The sequence below is a fragment of the Homo sapiens genome, chromosome 9, assembly GCF_000001405.40.
Source record: "Homo sapiens chromosome 9, GRCh38.p14 Primary Assembly".
Classification (NCBI taxonomy): domain Eukaryota; kingdom Metazoa; phylum Chordata; class Mammalia; order Primates; family Hominidae; genus Homo; species Homo sapiens.
Genome location: NC_000009.12, coordinates 109,167,730 through 109,186,670, shown reverse-complemented (window position 1 = coordinate 109,186,670; position 18,941 = coordinate 109,167,730). Strand labels below are relative to the sequence as shown.

At 44.4% G+C, this 18,941-nt stretch overlaps 1 protein-coding gene across 8 annotated transcripts in view, besides 2 other annotated features; it reads left to right on the top strand.

The window, feature by feature from the left end:
- The window catches only part of EPB41L4B (erythrocyte membrane protein band 4.1 like 4B), a 149,086-nt gene extending 134,389 nt beyond the window's left edge, over positions 1-14,697 (top strand). For 4 of the 8 annotated variants that reach the window (NM_019114.5, XM_011518791.3, XM_017014813.2 and 1 more), the window contains 4 exons: positions 1,066-1,182; positions 3,874-3,942; positions 9,975-10,120; positions 12,048-14,697. In NM_019114.5, coding sequence (NP_061987.3) covers positions 1,066-1,182; positions 3,874-3,942; positions 9,975-10,120; positions 12,048-12,117 — 402 coding nt within the window. In that variant the 3' untranslated portion in view covers positions 12,118-14,697. The remainder of the gene's footprint in view (positions 1-1,065; positions 1,183-3,873; positions 3,943-9,974; positions 10,121-12,047) is intronic. The other 4 variants (XM_017014814.2, NM_001385623.1, XM_017014815.2 and 1 more) reach the window with 2 other exon arrangements.
- Positions 655-1,154: an enhancer, noted in NCBI's record as "H3K4me1 hESC enhancer chr9:111947797-111948296 (GRCh37/hg19 assembly coordinates)". NCBI's record gives its function as "activates a minimal SCP1, AML or CMV promoter by ChIP-STARR-seq in primed H9 embryonic stem cells {active_cell/tissue: H9 hESC(primed)}" and the evidence as "EXISTENCE:reporter gene assay evidence [ECO:0000049][PMID:30033119]".
- Positions 6,148-6,442: a silencer, noted in NCBI's record as "tiled region #1434; K562 Repressive non-DNase unmatched - State 23:Low". NCBI's record gives its function as "represses a minimal TATA promoter and a strong SV40 promoter by Sharpr-MPRA in K562 cells {active_cell/tissue: K562}" and the evidence as "EXISTENCE:reporter gene assay evidence [ECO:0000049][PMID:27701403]".

Sequence of the window (18,941 nt, the reverse complement as noted above, 5' to 3'; positions counted from 1 at the left end):
CGCCTCTATAAAAAAGAAAAATTAAAATATTAGCCAGGCATGGTGGCACATATCTGTAGTCCCAGCTACTCAGGAGGCTGAGGCAGGAGGATTGCTTGAGCCCAGGATTTTAAGGCTGCCATGAGCTGTGATCACACGACTGCACTCCAGCCTGGGTGACAGAGCAAGACCCTGTCTCTTAAAAAATATGGCATGGTAGCTCACACTTGTAATCCCAACACTTTGGGAGGCCGAGGCGGGTGGATCACTTGAGGTCAGGAGTTTGAGACCAGCCTGGCCAACATGGTGAAACCCTGTCTCCATTAAAATTACAAAATTAGCTGGGCATGGTGGTGCATACCTGTAGTCCCAGCTACTTTGGGGGCTGAGGCAGGAGAATCACTTGAACCTGAGAGGCAAAGGTTGCAGTGAGCTGAGATCATGACACTGCACTCCAACCTGGGTGACAGAGCGAGTCTCAAAAAAAAAAAAGGGAAATGAAACGATATGTTTCTCCCCATGATATATTTCTTTCCTGGTGCCCTCTGTTGATATCCACTCACTGACATACCACAGTGTGTGCCCTTGTTCAGCAGAGTGCAGGAGGGCACTGAGCATGGAAGGCAAATGCTTCAAGTGTGTGGCCACTCCTCACTTCCTCCATGGCTCACATCACTAAGTCATCCTGGCTATCTTTCTGGCTTGGCCTGGGCAATGCTTCAGAACCCTCAACCGCGTGCCAAGAAGCCACTACCTGTCCTGTGCAGTTGGCACAGGAGATAGCCTCTACCTACCAGGCCTGGGAATGGGGTCTTGGTATGTCATCTGCTCAGATGATGGAGACAACAGATGAAAGACAGAAAGGAGAAAAGAAGGCTGAGAGAGAGGGTGGGGGGTGGGACCAGAAGCCAGTTGGCCAGAGCCTGGAAGTAGGCTGTGGGTGAGGCTGGCTTGAGAACAGTCTGGAGTTGCCAGATCTGTCTTGCACTGTGCTGTCTTTCTCTCCTTTCCCTTCCCCTACCTCCTCTTCCTCCTCCCCTTCTCTTGCCACCTCCTCCTCCCCTTCTCTCCTCTCCTCGTGAGCAGGCAGAGCCCGCCAGCAACCCCCACTGTGCCCACTCTCGCTGTTCTCCTCCACTCTCTCTCCCCATGAAGGAAGAGACCACTGGAGTTTGCATGTACCCTCCAATCAAAACGAGGCTGGTAGGTACCCTGGCAGGGAGAGGGGCCTGGCCAGGAGAGGTGAGGTGGGCAGGAGCCACCAGGCGAGGTGGAAGCCTGGGTGGGCGTGCAGAAGCCCCAGATCTCGGGCAGAGCCCATCGACAGGTGCCCTCACTCCAGATGGATGGAGGATTTGGAGTCCAGCTGGCCCTGGTCAGTTTGGAACATGCAGCTATGGAGCCCACTTCGCCTCTAGGTCTCAAGAATCAAGAAGAGTTTGTTTTCCTAGAATTTTGATGAGCATAGATGCTTTCCCCAGAGAGAAATATATGCTTTGGTACTCACCAGACGGACTCTTATGTTGCATTTCTATTGAAAATAAAACTTCTTTAAACTTGTCTTCTTCTGCTATTTATCAAGCTAATGATGTAATAGGAGTGCTACCTGACAATGTGAACAAAATTACCTGTCATCCCAATTTAGCATGATTTTTTGTCATTTTTACATATTTCCTTCTATTTATTCATATCATTCATAATTTTACATAGTTAAATCATAGTAACCATATTCTCTCCTGTTTTCCTCTTTTCACTTAATGCTGCTATGTTGTTTCTAGCTTGTTCTTGTTACCACATTATATGACTATTTGTATTTCATCAAGTGAATGGTCTACCATTTATCTAACACATTCTTTACTACAGGATGTGCGCTTTGTTCGCAGTTTGTCATTATTTGGGAGAACACATATAGCTTTTTGCATCAGGAATTTTATTTTCTTAGGCTATACCCTGCTGGATTAAACATGGTGACTTTGGCTTTTGCCCCCTTTCTAAAGTGGTTGTGCTAACAGATAGTGCCATCAGAAGAGAGTGACTTTGCTTTTCTCCACAGCCTTAGCAACACAGAGTGTAATTGTTGAAATCTATTTTTCTAATTTACAGCAGGTATAAAATAATTCTTTGAGATTGCTAACTTTCACCTTTCTTTCATAGCAATAATAAACCACTTTCTGGCAGGGCACAGTGGCTCACGCCTGTAATCCCAGCACTTTGGGAGGCTGAGGCAGGCAGATCACCTGAGGTCAGGAGTTTGAGTCCAGCCTGGCCAACATGTAAAACCCCAACTCTATTAAAAATACAAAAGTTAGCTGGGCATCGTGGCACGTGCCTGTAATCCCAGCTACTCAGAAGGCTGAGGCAAGAGAATCATTTGAACCTGGGGGGCGGAGGTTGCAGTGAGCTGAGATTGCGCCACTGCACTCCAGCCTGGGTGACAGAGTGAGACTCCGTCTCAAAAAATAAATAAATAAACCACTTTCCCTTTCTGCTTCATGATGATCTGAGAGTCTTATCTGTCTGTTACTTTCTGCTAGGATATTGGTCTCAGAGCACCATGCTGACTCAATAGGCAACAAGAGGAGAATGTACCCCAAGACTTCACCCCAAGGGTCCTTCTCTCACCTGAGTCAAAAAGGCAATTTCAGGCCTATTCTGGCAATTTTGAGATGTGTAAAGAGACCAAAGAAATTTGGGGGAAGGGGAGCAGGCTTGGGCTGGACATCTCAGTACACGTGGCAAGGATATTGTCATCCCCACATGGGGGAGACTTGCTTTACCCATTTGGGAAAGCTTGGCTGATTTGGGTCTGAGCTAATGTGTTCTTACTCATCCCTGCCTCACCCTCCCATTGGAGCCACTGAAGAGCATTGAGTAGCTATCCCAGTGTCCACAGGCAAGACCTCGAGACACACAAAGCCTGCTGCCCCTGGGCAGTGGTGGCCTTGGTGTCTTGCCTGCAGCCCTCTGCTGGCGGGTGGTATGGTATGCATTCACCAGCAGGTGTGCAGACAGTTTCTGTCCCCCAGGAATGTGCACAAAGCTGGTGTCAGAGTCATCTGGTTCCTGGGCCTGATGACGTACCCTAGGCCAGCTTGAAAAAATAAGCCCTTCCATTTCCCAAGTTCTCCAGGAGGCCAAAGACAAAATGACCAAAGAGAAAGACATGGAAGTCAAGAGTCTTTTTCACCACCACTACCTGATCAGCTGTTCGTCTGGCCTTTTTCAGACTAGCTCAGTACTACAGGTACTCCCAGCACTGGGCATCTTTGTGCATCAAGCCATCTGTTCCCAAAGGCCGTGGGGGCAGGATTCTCCCATGCTTCCACGGGTTTCCCTGAGGTCTCCCTCTACTGGCCAAAGCGTACAGGGAGTCCAGTAACTGAAGTGATTAGACAGGGAATACTTTCTAGCTTAATTAGCCCAGCCGCCTTGTACCCTGCCTGCTGTAAGAGACCGTGTCCCAGGATGTGACCTCTCAGCAGCCTCTAGGCCATTCCCACAGCTATGGAGAAGTCATCAGAAGCCACCTCAGGCAACTCTGACTCCCTCATTATCCACCTTGATTGTGGCTTTTTATGAGTCAGGCCTGGAAAGCCAAGCAGATCCCGCTGAAGGCAGCTCCAGGGGGAGGCAAGTGTGGGGGCGCTCTAGGAACACGAGACTCCAGGCTGTCATCCCTGCTGAGGCCCGTCCTGCAGTCCAACTCCAGGCACAGATACAACCACCAGCTCACACTCCTGAGGGACCCTTTGTATGTGCCCTTACACGAGTGATGAAGGCTCTGCGGGGGCACCCCTGAATCCTTTGGTTCCATTTTAAAGGTGCGCTGCCAAAGATTGCAAAACTTTGTTTTCTAATCTGAAGGTAACCCCCTTGTCTTTCTCTCTTTTGAAGATAAAAACATTCCCGGTTGATACAATGAACCCGTTTCCTGATACTTTCACCACAGGGCCACAGTTTACTGTAAGTAGATCCAGAAAACAGATGTGCATTTTAAACCCTTGTTCCCATGCGGTGTGCTTTTCTGCGGGATGCCAGACAGCAAGGTCAACCGCTTCTTTTGATCACCGTTGAACTCTGTGAGGTTGGGAAGAAACTTGGATTTGCAGTCTGCCTCTATTTTATTGATGTGACATTGACATAAAATTAACCATTTTAAAGTGACAATTCAGTGACAGTACATTCACAGTGTTGTGCAGTGACCACTTCTATCAGTTCCAATACATTTTTATTGCGTCCTCCAAAAACCTCACACCCATTAAGCAGTTCCTCCTCATTTTCCCTTTGTTCCTACCTGCTGGCAACCACCAGTCTGCATTCTGTGTCTGTGGATTTACCTAGTCTGGATATCTCATATAAATCAATTGTATCATATGTGACCTTTTGTGACTGGCCTCTTTCACTTAGCATAATGTATTTGAGGTTCATCCACGCATGTATCAATACTTCATTTCTTTTTTTGTTTGTTTGTTTGTTTTTGAGACGGATTGAGATCTGTTCTACTGCCAAGGCTGGAGTGCAGTGGCACGATCTCGGCTCACTTCAACCTCCACCTCCCAGGTTCAAGTGTTTCTCCTGCGTCGGCCTCCTGAGTAGCTAGGATTACAGCTGCTTGCCACCACGCCTGGCTAATTTTTGTATTTTTAGTAGAGGTGGGGTTTCATTACGTTCGCCAGGCTGGTCTCCAACTCCTGACCTCAGGTGATCCACCTGCCTCAGCCTCCCAAAGTGTTGGGATTACAGGCGTGAGCCACCATGCCCAGCCTCATTTCTTTTTATGATGGAATATTATTCCATTGTATCTATATACTGCAATTTGTTTATCCACTCATTTATTGGGGGTTTTGGGATTGTTTTCACCTTTTGGCTATTGTGAATAGTGCTGCTATGCATATGTGTGTACATGTATCTGTTTGAACACCTGTTTTCAATTCTTTTGGGTTGGATCTTGATAATGGTGTGGTCTTAGGTAGGTCACTTTACTACCCTGACCACCAGCAGCTTTTTCTTTTTTGCTTTTAGAGATGAGGTCTCACTATGTTGCCTAGGCTGGTCTCGAACTCCTGGGCTCAAGTGATCCTCATACCTTGGCCTCCCAATGTGCTGAGATTACAGGCATGAGCCACCATGCCTGCCCCCTCTTCTTACTTAAGGTGAAAGTAGTAGTAAGAATATCCTCCTCATATCCTGTTGGGGCAAGGATCAAAAGGGACCAAGAATTTGAAAGTGTTTTACCAACCACAAAACATCCCACACCTGTCAGTTATGATTGTTGTTTCTCAAGGCTGGAGAGGCAGGGTGCTGTGATGAACAAGAACCAGTCACCCTGACAACAGACTTCTTGTCACCACCTCTCTGGGTGTCACTGGGCAGCTTATTTATTCTGCCAAGGCTAGGCACAGTGGCTCATGCCTGTAATCCCAGCACTTTAGGAGGCTGAGGTGGGAGGATCGCTTGAGACCAGAAGTTCGAGATCAACCTGGGCAACATAGAGAGACCCTGTCCCTACAAAATAATAATAATAATAAATTAGCTGCCTGTAGTCCCAGTTACCCAGGAGGCTGAGGCGGGAGGATCTCTGGAGCCCAGGAGGCTGACGCTGCAGTGATCTATGACTGCACCACTGGATTCCAGCCTGGGCAACAGAGTGAGACCCTGTCTTGATTTTTTAAAAAATTCTGCCAAATGTTTAAATCCTGTAGTTTCCTCATCTACAAAGAGAGAGTTTGATAATGTTCATGCTTCTTTTCAGGGCTCAACTCATTCTTTAAATGAAAGCTTCTGCAGAAGCTCACTGTATAATGAGCAATTAGATGGAGCAGAAGTGAGGAATCTGGGGTCCACACCTCCTTCCTCTCACTCTGTCCTCCTCCCGGGAACCAGAGCTTGCAATTTCTATGATCCCTGAAGCTCCTTCCGAAGGGTTTTTGTGCCATCTGGAGGATCTGTGAGGTGGGCTGTGGGTGGCTAAAGGTAGCTCTAAGTGCAGTCTTACGAGATGGATGATGGCCACTACCCAACATGGCTTCAGCCACACAGGGAGGGAGAGAGCAGTGGCTGATTCAAGTTTCAGAGGATGAGCAGAGGTGGGAAGGTGTCCAGCAGGGCAGGCGGAGGGAAAAACAGGTTCCTAGAACAGTCCATTTCTAGGGTCATGAGCTGCTTCCAGCATCTGCCTTTTAAGAATGAGAGGGCAGAGACATGGGGCTCTGCCAGAATGTTAGATGCTCTTTCCCTGACACTCGTCCTGGCTCCCTGCAGTCTTGCTGGACACAGCTCCCCAGCTGGAAGCTCCGGCTCCACCTCCCTTGGTTGGCCATAGTGGGGCACTCTGGCCTTCTGCCCAGCCTTGGCAGTGCTGTGAGACACTCAGGGAAGCCCTTCCCGAAAGCTGGGGGCCAAGATGGAGCAGGAAGCCAATGGCAGAAACCATGCTGGGACTTTTAAGAACTGAGCAAGAGTGGCTCGAAGACAGCTGGAGCAGCAGAGGGAACAGCATGAGCCAGACCCCCAGGGCGGGCGGGGTCATCACACATTCAAGGGACTGAAAAACAGGCCAGTGGGACTGGGATGCGGAAAGCAAGCAGGGCTGGGTGAGAGAGGAGGAAGGGGATGTAGGTGGTGATAAAACTGGAGGGGCACAACCATGTTGGCCTTGTAGGCCACAGTAGGGATTCTGATCTCCATCCTACGAGCAACAGGAAATCTTTGAGGGACTTTGAGCAGGGCAGTGACAGGGCAGATGCACTTGGAAGGGATCCCTGTGATCACAGTGGGAGGACAGTGGCATCCAGGCAGAGTGGATTCAGGACAGTAGCCTGGAAACGCAGGACAGTGGCTTAAGGGAGAGAGAGCAGAAAGCTTGACCCACAGTGGTTTTGCTGGTGGAGGTGGACAGAAGTGCACAGATAGGGAAGATATTTAGGAGGCTGGTAAGATTCAGGATTAGATGAGGCAGAGAGAGGGTCAGAAATGGTTCCCATATTTCTGATTTGCAGAATGTGGATGGACAGTGGGTCCATTCACTGAGATAAAGAAACTTGGAAAAAGACTTGGTTGGGAGAGATGAGTTTGCCTTTGGCCATGATGGATTAGAAATGCCTTTGAAACATCCAGGTGGACACAATGAATGGGCAGTTGGAAATCCAAGTCTGTAACTCAAGAGAGTGGACTAGACTGGAAACAATGACTAGGGAGGCAGTGACAGGTAGATGGTAACAGAAGCCAAGCTCATGGGCTTCAGCTTCTCAATTTTCTCACCCCTGTGTGTAGTGTTCTCATCTCCTTCCTGCCAAGATCATGACACTTGAACTTTCTGCAGGTTTGGCCTCTCCACAGGCCTCCAGACCTATCCTGGCGACAGTGACAGGGGTTGTTTAGCAGCGCTGGGAAGCTCTGCACAAAGTTGGTCTGGCAGTCGATCTAGCATTGATGGAGCTGGGTTTCAACAGCTGGGCTCTTGCTTGATCCCAAAACCAGTTTCTACTTTGTATTCAGGTGTATTAACTGGGTCTCTGCTCATACTCAGCCGAGTATGTTGGTCCATCTAGGGTGGGGAGCCCTGCCTGGCTCTGGCCAGATTTCTGCTCTACATGCTTCTTTCTAATCTGGCTCTGTCCTTCTGTTACCTGCTTTGTTCCAGTGGAAGCTTGTTCATTCATTCACTCATTCATTTCCTCATTCAACAAATATTAAAAAACAGATACTTAGGGTTGAGATTTAATAATGTAATTTTTACTGCTTCTTCAAGGTCATTCTTTAGTGAAACTGGCTTTTTTTTTTTTTTTTTACTTGAAGTATATGGCAATCAAGAACACAATGACTACTAGTACAGTTTGGTGCCACTACCTCAATTCATGCCAAGGCCCTGCCCCATTTACTTACTATCACCTTTGCACCATCAGTGCAAATTTTCCTCTTTTTTCAGAAAGAATAAAAAATGGCATCAAAGGCTGGGTGCAGTAGCTCATGCCTGTAATCCCAGCACTTTGGGAAGCCAAGGTAGGTGGATTACCTGAGATCAGGAGTTCGAGACCAGCCTGGCCAACATGGTGAAACCCCATCTCTACTAAAAAAAACCCCAGTTATGGTGTCAGCTAGCCCTTGTTCTGAATACTGTTCTTAACACTTACACTTACTAATACAAAAATTAGCTGAGTGCGGTGGCAGGCACCTGTAACCCCAGCTACTCAGGAGGCTGAGGCAGGAGAATCACTTGAACCTGGGAGGCAGAGGTTGCAGTGAGCTAAGATTGTGGCCTCCAGCCTGGGCAACAGAGCAAAACTCCAACTCAAAAAAAAAAAAAAGAAGATACTGCTCATTTGATGATCAGAGTGTCTTCTTTAGAAACTCATGTAATAAGTTTCTCCAAGGTCAGGGCCAAGAACTAGCATGAAAAATCTAGTTATAAAATATATAGCTGGTATTATCAAAAATATAAAACAAACAAAAACTATGCATTGAAAAAATACTAAATGGCCAAGCATGGTGGCTCACACCTATAATCCCAGCACTTTGGGAGGCTAAAGTGGGAGGATCACTTGAAACCAGGAGTTTGAGACCAGCCTGGGCAACATAGTGAGACTGTTTCCACGAAAGATTAAAAAAATTATCCAGGCATGGCACGCACCTGTAGTGACAGCTACTTGAGAATCTTAGGCAGAAGGATCACCTGAGCCCAGGAGGTTGAGGCTGCAGCGAGCTCTCATTGTGCCAACTGCACTCCAGCCTGGGCAACAGAGTGAGACTCTGTCGAAAGAAAGAAAGAGAGAGAGAAAGAGAGGAAGAGAGAGAGAACCTGTGAGGAAATATACTGATGGCAACAGTAAGGAATTATGGAATTTCTTCATTGATCTACTTTTTTTTTTTTTTGAGACAGAGTCTCGCTCTGTGCCCAGGCTGGAGTGCAGTGGCGCAACCTCGGCTCATTGCAAACTCCGCCCCCAGGTTCAAGCGATTCTCCTGCCTCAGCCTCCTGAGTAGCTGGGATTACAGGCGTGCGCCAGCGTGCCCGGCTGATTTTTTGTATTTTTAGTAGAGATGGGGTTTTGCCATGTTGGCCAGGCTGGTCTTGAGCTCCTGACCTCAGGTGATCCACCCACCTCGACCTCCCAAAGTGTTGGGATTACAGGTGTGAGCCACCGTGCCCGGCCTGATCTACTTTTATATATCTTCTAAGCTTTCTATATACAAGTAAACAGAATAGTTTGCTATATAATGAAAATGACAAGAATATATTATCCTCTCCAAATGAGACAGTATACTCTAGACCAGTAGTTCTGAAGCTTTATTGTAATTCCTCCAGAAGAATCACCTGGAGGTCTTGTTGAAACACGTATTGTTGGACTTCATCCCCAGGCATTCTTGGGTCCCAGTGGTCTTGGGTGAGGCCTGAGAATTTGCATTTTTACCAAGTTTTAAGATAATGCTGATGCTGCTAGTCTGGGGCCCATACTTTGGGAACCACTGCTACAGTAATGAAAAACCCCAGTTATGGTGTCAGCTAGCCCTGGTTCTCAGTACTGTTCTTAACACTTACTAACTGTGTGACCTTGGGCAGATTACTTAACCTCTCTGAGCCTCACTTTCCCCCATAAAATCAGTTTTAAAATATACATTTGTTTTCACCTTTTAACATTTCCCGATATCAGAATGTTTACTACTGGGCATGACAAAGTTTGATAGTGGGCATGACAAAGTTTAAATGGCTACATGTTTCTTTCTGATTGGCAAATGCAAAAATGGTGCATCTTACAACTGATGGTGCCTAAGATGTGAGGAAATATAATCGCTACCTTAAAGGGTTGTCAAGAGTTAATATGTGTCAAGTACTTAGCATGGTGTCTGGCACAAAGTAAAATCACTTAAAATGACAATCGATTTTAGCTGGTAGTGAAAAGGAACAGGAACTGTAGAGTAAGGCTTAGGGAGCAACTGACAGTGTGAAAATGGAACCCAAATTGAGATTGATCTCCTCTTTCCTGTTTCTTCTCCAGGCAGACTTCAGAGACAGTAAATTACAGTGCTGTCCTGGCCCGACTTCCCCGCTGATCCCAGCAGCGACCCTGAGGCCTTTGACAGAGACCGTCTCCACAGTGCAGACCATTTACACCACCCGGAAACCTGTTTCTCTGGCAGCCAGGTAGGTCAGGTCAGCAGGTTCCGACAGGTAATTCTGGTGACAGGGAAACCAGGGAGACTCTAGGTTCATTGTGTTTGTGACACGTACAGGCCTTTCCTACATTCTTTCATTTATTCTGTAAGTATTTATTGAAATGTCTATAAAGGGGCCAGGTGCGGTGGCTCTCATCTGTAATCCCAGCACAAGGGAGGATCCCTTGAAGTCAGGAGTTCAAGACCAGCCTGGCTAACATGGTGAAACCCCATCTCTACTAAAATTAGCCAGGCGTGGTGGTGCACACCTGTAATTCCAGCTACTTGGGAGGCTGAGGCAGGAGAATCACTTGAACCCAGTAGGTGGAGGTTTCAGTGAGCTGAGATTGCACCACTGCACTCCAGCCTGGGCAACAGAGTGAGACTTTGCCTCAAAAAAAAAAAAATGTTTACAAGGGTAGGCTGTTAGAGGAGATAGACAACAAATGAGTGTGTGTGTGTGTGTGTGTGTGTGTGTGTGTGTGTGTGCGTGTGTGTGATATTGACAAGGGATAGGGAGGAAAATGAAATTGTGAATGGCAATAAGGTATCCTGGGATGGCCTCAATGAGGTGGCATTTAAGCAGAGCCCTGAAAAGGGCTATAGAGAAAGCTGCAGATACCTGGGAGGAGTACTGCGCAGAGCAACCAGCCAGTGCTAAGGCTCCTGAGGAAGCATGTGCCTGACATGGTTACGGAAGTTTAAGGGGCCAGCGTGGCCAGAGCAGAGTGAATGACAATAGAGGAGGCCTGTGAAGTTGTGGGTTAAGGCCAGACTGCGTAGGGCCTTGTTGGCTACAGTAGAAACTTTGTTTTCTACCCTGAATGAAATTATTAAACTTGGTTAGTGCCTTTAAAGATGTGTATTTTGCCAGGCATGGTGGCTCGTGCCTGTCATCCCAGCTACTCAGGAGGCAGAGGTGGGAGGATCAGTTGAGGCCAGGAGTTCAGGAGTTCAAGTCCAGCCTGGGCAACATAGCAAGGCCCCATCTCTAACTAAAAACAATGAAAAGATGTGTATTTACTCTGTGTGTGTGTGTGTGTGTGTGTGTGTGTGTGTGTGTGTGTGTGTTTAAACAGTGGAGACAGGTTACATAGATATGCAACTGGACCTGAGGTCCAAAAAGTCAGAGGCAACTTCTCAAAACAGCCAATTTTACTTCATTCAATTTGATTCATTAAAATATAATTAATTATTTGTTACAACATTCCCTCAGATATTCATCAAATGAAAGCCTGGGAGAAAATGCACATGAAACCAATTTAAAGCATGATTTAAATAAATCTAACCCCTGGACATCTTCATTCAAAAGTCTTTACTGAGGGCCGGGCTTGGTGGCTCATGCCTGTAATCCTAGCACTTTGGGAGGTCGAGGCAAGTGGATTGCCTGAGCTCAGGAGTTCGAGACCAGCCTGGGCAACACGGTGAAACCCCGTCTCTACTAAAATACAAAAAATTAGCTTGGCATGGTGGCACGTGCCTGTAATCCCAGCTATGCTGGAGGCTGAGACAGAAGAATCGCTTGAACCTGGGAGGTGGAGGTTGCAGTGAGCCAAGATCACGCCACTGTACTCCAGCCTGGGTGACAGAGTGAGACTCCATCTCAAAAAAAAAAAAAAAAAAAAAACACTTTACTGAGTGGCTGCCATGCACCAGATACTGCGCAAGGCTCTGGAGGTTTAGAGATGAATGACATATAGTCAGCCAGGAACTCTCAGCATGGTGGGACTGAGAAACCAGTAAGTAGCCAATTTCAGATCACTGAAATGCTAGCAAATGTAGATAGTCCTCAAGGAGTCTAAAAAAGAAAGTCCAACACTGAGATCAGGAAAGAACCTGGGAGATGATACTTAAGCTGTCTGCTTCTGCAATTTTTGAGGGATTGTCTCACTATTTTGTCACATACTTTTTTTTAGTGCAGAGACACTCCGGCAGGAACTGGAGAGAGAGAAGATGATGAAAAGACTGTTGATGACCGAACTGTGAAATTCTCCCCTTGTCACCTGGAAGATGGCATGGTGCCTTCTGTCCGTCTTCTTTCTTCGGGCTTTGTGTGCTCACTCTAGCACAGCATACAAGTGTGTGCTCTGTTCGCCCAGGTCTCCATGGTTAGTTGAAGCCAATTTCTGGCTTGACTTTTATGGGAAAAGTTATTTTATGTCTCCTAAGCATTAGAGTTTTTCTATTACTCTATGTAGTTGAGACAGGATTTGATAAGTCTAGGAAAAGAAAGATGGGAAAACGGGATTCCTTTTCAGAAGTACCTGTGTGTATCTGTTAATAACCACAGGGGTTAATATGATGTAGGATCTTTTACTATCAATTTCAACCATTTGATTTTGTATGATTGAAACTTGCACCGAGCTTTGACTGTTTGTTAAAGAGTCATTTTTAATGAAAGAATAATTCTTTATTGCTGGTTTTTCATTTACACTGATAAATACACAGATCTTATAAAGTCTTTAACATTCATTTGTATTCAGATGTGAGTAGAAGAACTAAAAAAAGAAAGTTACATATCACTATGACTGAAGGTACTTCAGCTTAATCTGAAATATAATTTAACTTGTGAACTCCTTGGATATGATATTATTTGGAATAAACAGAATTTATCATTGAACCCAAAGTAGGAAATGATAGCTTACATTGTCTAAAAATCCTTACAAGGTTAAGATGATTCAATATCAAGAAGATTCAGAAAATTATTTCTAAAGTTGATCGATTCATGTCGTATTGATAGAATCTTGACCAGAAGAAATTTTGCTCTTTTTATATAGTTTCAAGAAATGTGTTTTTAAATTTTTATTAATGCACTTGAACAACTTTGCAGGAATAAAGCAACCCCCTAACCACAAAATATCCCTCTAAATTAGTTCCCTAGCTTTCTCAATGAATACACACATATTTTTACATAGCTATGATCGTTGTGTACATTCTCCTTTGTTTTACTTCTCGGCCTAACACTTGTCTCCTCTTGTCAACACAGATTCTACTCTCACCAATTTAAATGTCTTTATATCCATGTAACATGGGTAACCTCACTTCACCCCATTATTAGATATTTGAGTTATATCTAATTTTTCACTCTTATAAATAGTGCTGCTATGAATGTCTGTAAAAAAAAAAAACTGCTCCTTCTTTTGGATTATTCCCTTAGGAATATCTCCAAAGAGGGATTACAAGGTCAAAGAGCATGAAGTATTTTATAGCTCTTGTTTTATATTGCCAGATTGCTTTCTAGAAAGATCCAATCTTTGGGTTGGAAGGACCTTAAAGGTCATCTAGTTTAGCCTCCCCACCCCCTCTGAATGCTTGAATCCCCTCGACAATTTATGATGCCACCAGCAATGTATAAGCATTTCTGTTTACCAATAGCTCTGCCAGTATTGGGTTTTGCCATTTTTATTTATTTTTGCTAGTTTAATAGGTATGTATAGTTGTTCTTGAAGAGTTGTTTTATTTCATTAATTGCTAGCAAGGCTGAGCACTTTTCCATGTGATGATTTACTAGTTGTATTTCCTTGTGTGTAAAATGTTCATTCATTTCTTATGACCACTTGTTAAGAGGAACTGATCTCATATATTTGTATCAGAACTGTATTTTTATGTTATATTGTATAGTTTGCTCTCCTGCCCCTCTCCTTAAAACTGAATGGTGCCAATAATTTGATACTAATGACTACAAAAAAAGGTAATGCCTCATTTACTAGTATTGTTGTAAAATGAGGAATGTATGTGAATATTCAGATAACCGAGGATTAACCCTTTAAGTGCTGAATCTTTAAAATTTTAATATATTTTTTTTTGAGGGAAATCTTTCTAAAATGTATTACGCACTTCCCTGCCTTAGTAAACAGAGTATACTGGAGAGTATTTAACCTTTTCTTGATGAGTCATGGTCATGATTATAAACATCAGCCCCTTTTATACCTTGGTACGGTGCAGTGATATCATTAAGAGCTATCAATATGTGTAGGGCTTGGCTTGGCCTTTTATAGGATATTATGCTGTTCTCACTGATGGTTTTTTACTGCTCTCTGCTCTGTCAGTGGAGCTATCCGGGGCAATTGTAGCGTTTGGGTCCTTTTACCCCTATGTCCCCCGGCTATACTTTTAAAACAGCTTTAGCTGTTCTTTATCTTGTGCACATGATACAAAATATGTTCCCGTACAATATGGGGCTGTCACTTCTTGCCAACCCAGCACCCTCTTCCTCTTCTAACCTGCTTTCTGAGGCTTCTGCTCTTCACCTCCTGCTCGCTGATGGAAACCTCCAGGGCAAAGCTGAAGGTTTCTTGGGGAAGCCAGGAAAGCCAGTATTTCCTATGTGTCAGATCTGCTTGGCTTCCAAGAAGGGATGCATGGGCTTTTTGGCCAGTGTTTCCAGGAGGCTCTGGGCTTCCTGCTTCTTCCCCGCTTCCCCCAGAGTTCACAGATGTTGAAGTTTCTGAAGGTTGACGTCACTGGAAGTCTGACCACAAACAAGTTGGCTGTTACTGTATTTGAAACCCAGTACCTTTGGCAGCTCACCTCTAACCAGTAAAATAAGAGGATTCCATGGTTTCAGCAGTTGTCCTGGTTATTTGCCTATTTAAGTGAATGATGGGTGCTTGGCATTGTGACTGAGAAGATGAAATTGTGCTGGATGGATTCATAGGGATGAAAATGAATTGGCGCAATTGTTTCACATTTTTTATATATTTTAAACCCAAACAACAGCACTATATGGGCACACAACACACACCTTATGTCCGGGGGAAACAATCAGCTTACTGACATAGTCATTCCAGAGCTAGGGCTCCAAACTGTAGGATGCAGATTCCCAGTAGGCATGGAAGGTTATTGCAAGGGGTCTGGGAAACCTGCAACCCACAGCTTTATGGATTGTAAACTGCATAGGAAATTCTATGTTTGAAGAGTTTGAGATCCTAGGGCATTCAGAAGATCCCACTTGCATGCACCCAGAATTTTATATTCCCCAGGAATATAGCAGAGGAATATTCTGGTATCATATTTATCTTTCACCATCTCAAAAATTACAGTTTTAAAAACTCAAATAAAATTCATCACTATAACCATTTTAAAGCGTACAATTCAGTGGTTTCTAATGCATTCACAATGTTGTGCAGACAATACCACTATCTAATTCCAGAACATTTACATCATGCCAAAAGGAAACCCCATGTCTGTTAGCAGTCACTACTGATTCTGACCCCTGGCATCACCTGGCGACCACTAATCTACTTTCCGTCTATGGATTTGCTTATTCTGGAAATTTCATATGAACAAAATCATACAATATGTAGTCTTTTGTGACTGGCTTCTTTCACTTAACATAGTGTTTTCAAGGTTCATCCATGTTGTAGCATGTATCAGAACTGCACTCCTTTTTATGGCTTAATAATGTGTTATTATATGGATATACCATATTTGGCTTATCCAGTCATCAGTTGCGTCAGTTGATAGATATTTGGGTTGCTTCTGCTTTTTGGCTATTATGAATAATACTGCTAGGCTGGGCGCGGTGGTTCACACCTGTAATCCCAGCACTTTGGGAGGTCGAGGTGGGCAGATCACCTGAGGTCAGGAGTTCGAGGCCAGCCTGACCAACATGGAGAAACCCCATCTCTACTATACAAAATTACCTGGGCATGGTGGTGCATGCCTGTAATCCCAGCTACTAGGGAGGCTGAGGCAGGAGAATCACTTGAACCCGGGAGGCAGAGGTTGCGGTGAGCCAAGATTACACCGTTGCACTCCAGCCTGGGCAACAAGAGTGAAACTCCGTCTTAGAAAATAATAATAATAATATTGTTATGAACATTTGTGTACAAGTTTTTGTGTGAACATCTGTTTTAAATTCTCTTGGAATTGCTGGGTCAAATGGAAACTCCATGTTTAACTTTCTAAGGAACTGCCACAATCACAGCTTTTATTTCTTACAAAATCCAAAGTGAAAAATTATATATACTAGACAGTCAGAAGCCTGGGCAAATCGGTTACTCATCAGATACCAAGATGCAGCAATGATTTTGGGAGTTTTTAATCGCAAAAAAGGTTGTGTCAGAGAAATTGCTTTGAGGTGGAGAGAAAATAAAGGTACTGTCTTTCTTTTTAAAATGAAAATGAATTTAAATCTGGTTCATCTCTAAGTTTTTGTTTGAGTGGCCAGCTCTTGTACAGCCAGTGGTCTCAGAATGTTCAGGCAAAGTTCCTCCCCAGAAAATTTGCACAGTAGAGGAAACTACAATATTTCTTAGCTGTTCTGTAGAGTCACATTGGTGGGGAACAGAGGGTCTCTGCAAACCTAGGATGTAACTAAGAGGGGAGCATGTGCTTAAGGTTGGAATAGGTCTGCCTCCACTCTTTCCAGGACTTAAATCGTGTCAGAAAACATGAAGAGAAAGAAAATCCCCAAAGGCAATTTGAGTGGATGGGAGAGAATCTCATGAAATGGAAGGAGCCGAATAGGTTGCTGGGCCCTGAAAAGGCATAAGGCTTGAGTGACCCATAAAAGCTATAGGTTTTCCCAAACACTGCATGTTCTCACTCATAAGTGGGAGTTGAACAGTGAGAACACATGGACACAGGGAGGGGAACATCACACACCGAGGCATGTTGTGGGGGGTGAGGCAAGGGGAGGGAGAGCATTAGGACAAATACCTAACGCATGCAGGCTTAAAACCTAGATGACGGGTTGATGGGTACAGCAAACCACCATGGCACATGTATACCTATGTAACAAACCTGTACATTTTGCACATGTATCCCAGAACTTAAAGTAAATTAAAAAAAAAGTTGAACATGGAAAAAATAATTCATAAAAAAAGCTATGGGTTTTCTCCCTAGAAAAACCCATACATCACAACATTATTCCAGCACTTTCATAAGGTCCTCATATCACCCCTGAAGCCTATCTGTGGCCCCCTGTGAGTCTACATGAGTAGAGAGAGAATTGAAATCCACAGTTTACCTGCAAACTTCATTTTAGGCTGTAGTTGTAAACCGTCCCCAAAATACCCAAATACCCCCATAAAAACAATATAGAAAGCCCACGTGGTGGTGGTTTTTTTTGTTTTGTTTTGTTTTTTTGTTTGTTTTTTGTTTGTTTTTTGAGATGGAGTCTTGCTCTGTCGCCCAGGCTAGAGTGCAGTGGCCTGATCTCGACTCACTGCAAGCTCCGCCTCCCAGGTTCACGCCATTCTCCTGCCTTAGCTTCCCGAGTAGCTGGGACTTCAGGCGCCCGACACCATGCCCGGCTAATTTTTTGTATTTTCAGTAGAGACGGGATTTCACCGTGTTGGCCAGGATGGTGTCGATCTTCTGACCTTGTGATCCGCCCGCCTCGGCCTCCCAAAGTGCTGGAGTTACAGGCGTGAGCCACCGTGCCCGGCTGCCCACGTGTTTTTATATCAGATTAATTTACTCGGAGAAGAATGGCCTGGTTTTCATTTGCCTTCTATTTGGGCACCGTTATTGTTAATTTCAGTAACCAAAATGAAGGGAATAAAAAGGAAAGTAAGAGGTAAAAGCTTGTATTCCCAAACCAGAGAATCTACACTGAAATCAAAAGTCTAATGCTTTATTTTTTTGGCTAAACTTTGGTCCATTCTAAGTTGACCATACCTTCCCTGGTGAACAGAAAGAGAAGAAAAGAAAATAAAGAAATTTTAATTTTTAAGAAAGGTTTAAGGTTTTTGTTTTTGTTTTTGTTTTTTTTTTTTTTTTTGAAGGACTACACTTTAACAGATTTTCAATCTGTTGGATCAGCTTTTTTAGAATGTTATGCATTGCCACGCTATGCTTTTTGGGAAGAAGTCTCTTGAGTTTTTAAAGTAATCATAGTTCATCTTACCTTTTTCAAATAATCTGATCTATTTTTTGTGACAACTGCTATGTTGGGGGACCTAGTGAAGCCCAAGGTTTTCATGAATTACACCTCAATTCAGCCATCAGGATTAATATGTTTAAATTCCAGTTGGACAGCCCACTGTTAGCTGATACCTAATAGAAAATACCTGACTTCTAAGTCCCCCATCATGTCTCCCCTGTTTCAACAGCACTACCCTTATCTCTCAGCCAATCAGGCCATAAAGGGTTAAGATCACTAGTTTCCTTTTGAATATTAACATTTCACAATATTGTGTACATGTGTGCATGCCACTTACAGCACTGAACCCTATTGATCCTTACCTCTATGATCTTCCCTAATCTTCATTGCATCATGTCAATGACTAATCATGAGAGATCAGGCAGTCTGACTTCTAGGTCTGCATTTGGGACCTCTATGCTTTTCTGCCTCCATAATTATTTTGTTTATGCAATAAAATAAAATAATAAAATAGGAAAAGCAGGTTAAAATGCTGGCTCTGCAACACCAGCCTGAAAGGAATTGCGTCCGCCTCTCTGATGGAAAACAGCTTAGCAATTCGAATATATCACCCCAACAACCATCATCAAAAGAGAACCCTGGGACCTGCCATAAAGCAAATGCTTGGTGTGAATCAATGGATGGCTGAGTAAATAGCCAAAAGTGAACTGCAAGCAGCAGGAATGGATTTGAGAAAAATCAACAATTCAGCATGGCCCTCAGATACGGTGTGGGCCTTCCAAGGCCTGCGCGTGCTTGCTGCAGGGAAAGAGAGTAAACCAGAAGCCTAGTTTTGAAGGGGAACAGGTTACCTACTGGCACCAGCCTCTGTTGATTACACACCGCAAGAGCCTGGAGAGGAAGCAGGTGAATCCAGTTTTCTCTGTCTCTAAACACCTCAGTTTACCTAGCTCTATTGTGGGGGTCTTGCAATTTCAAG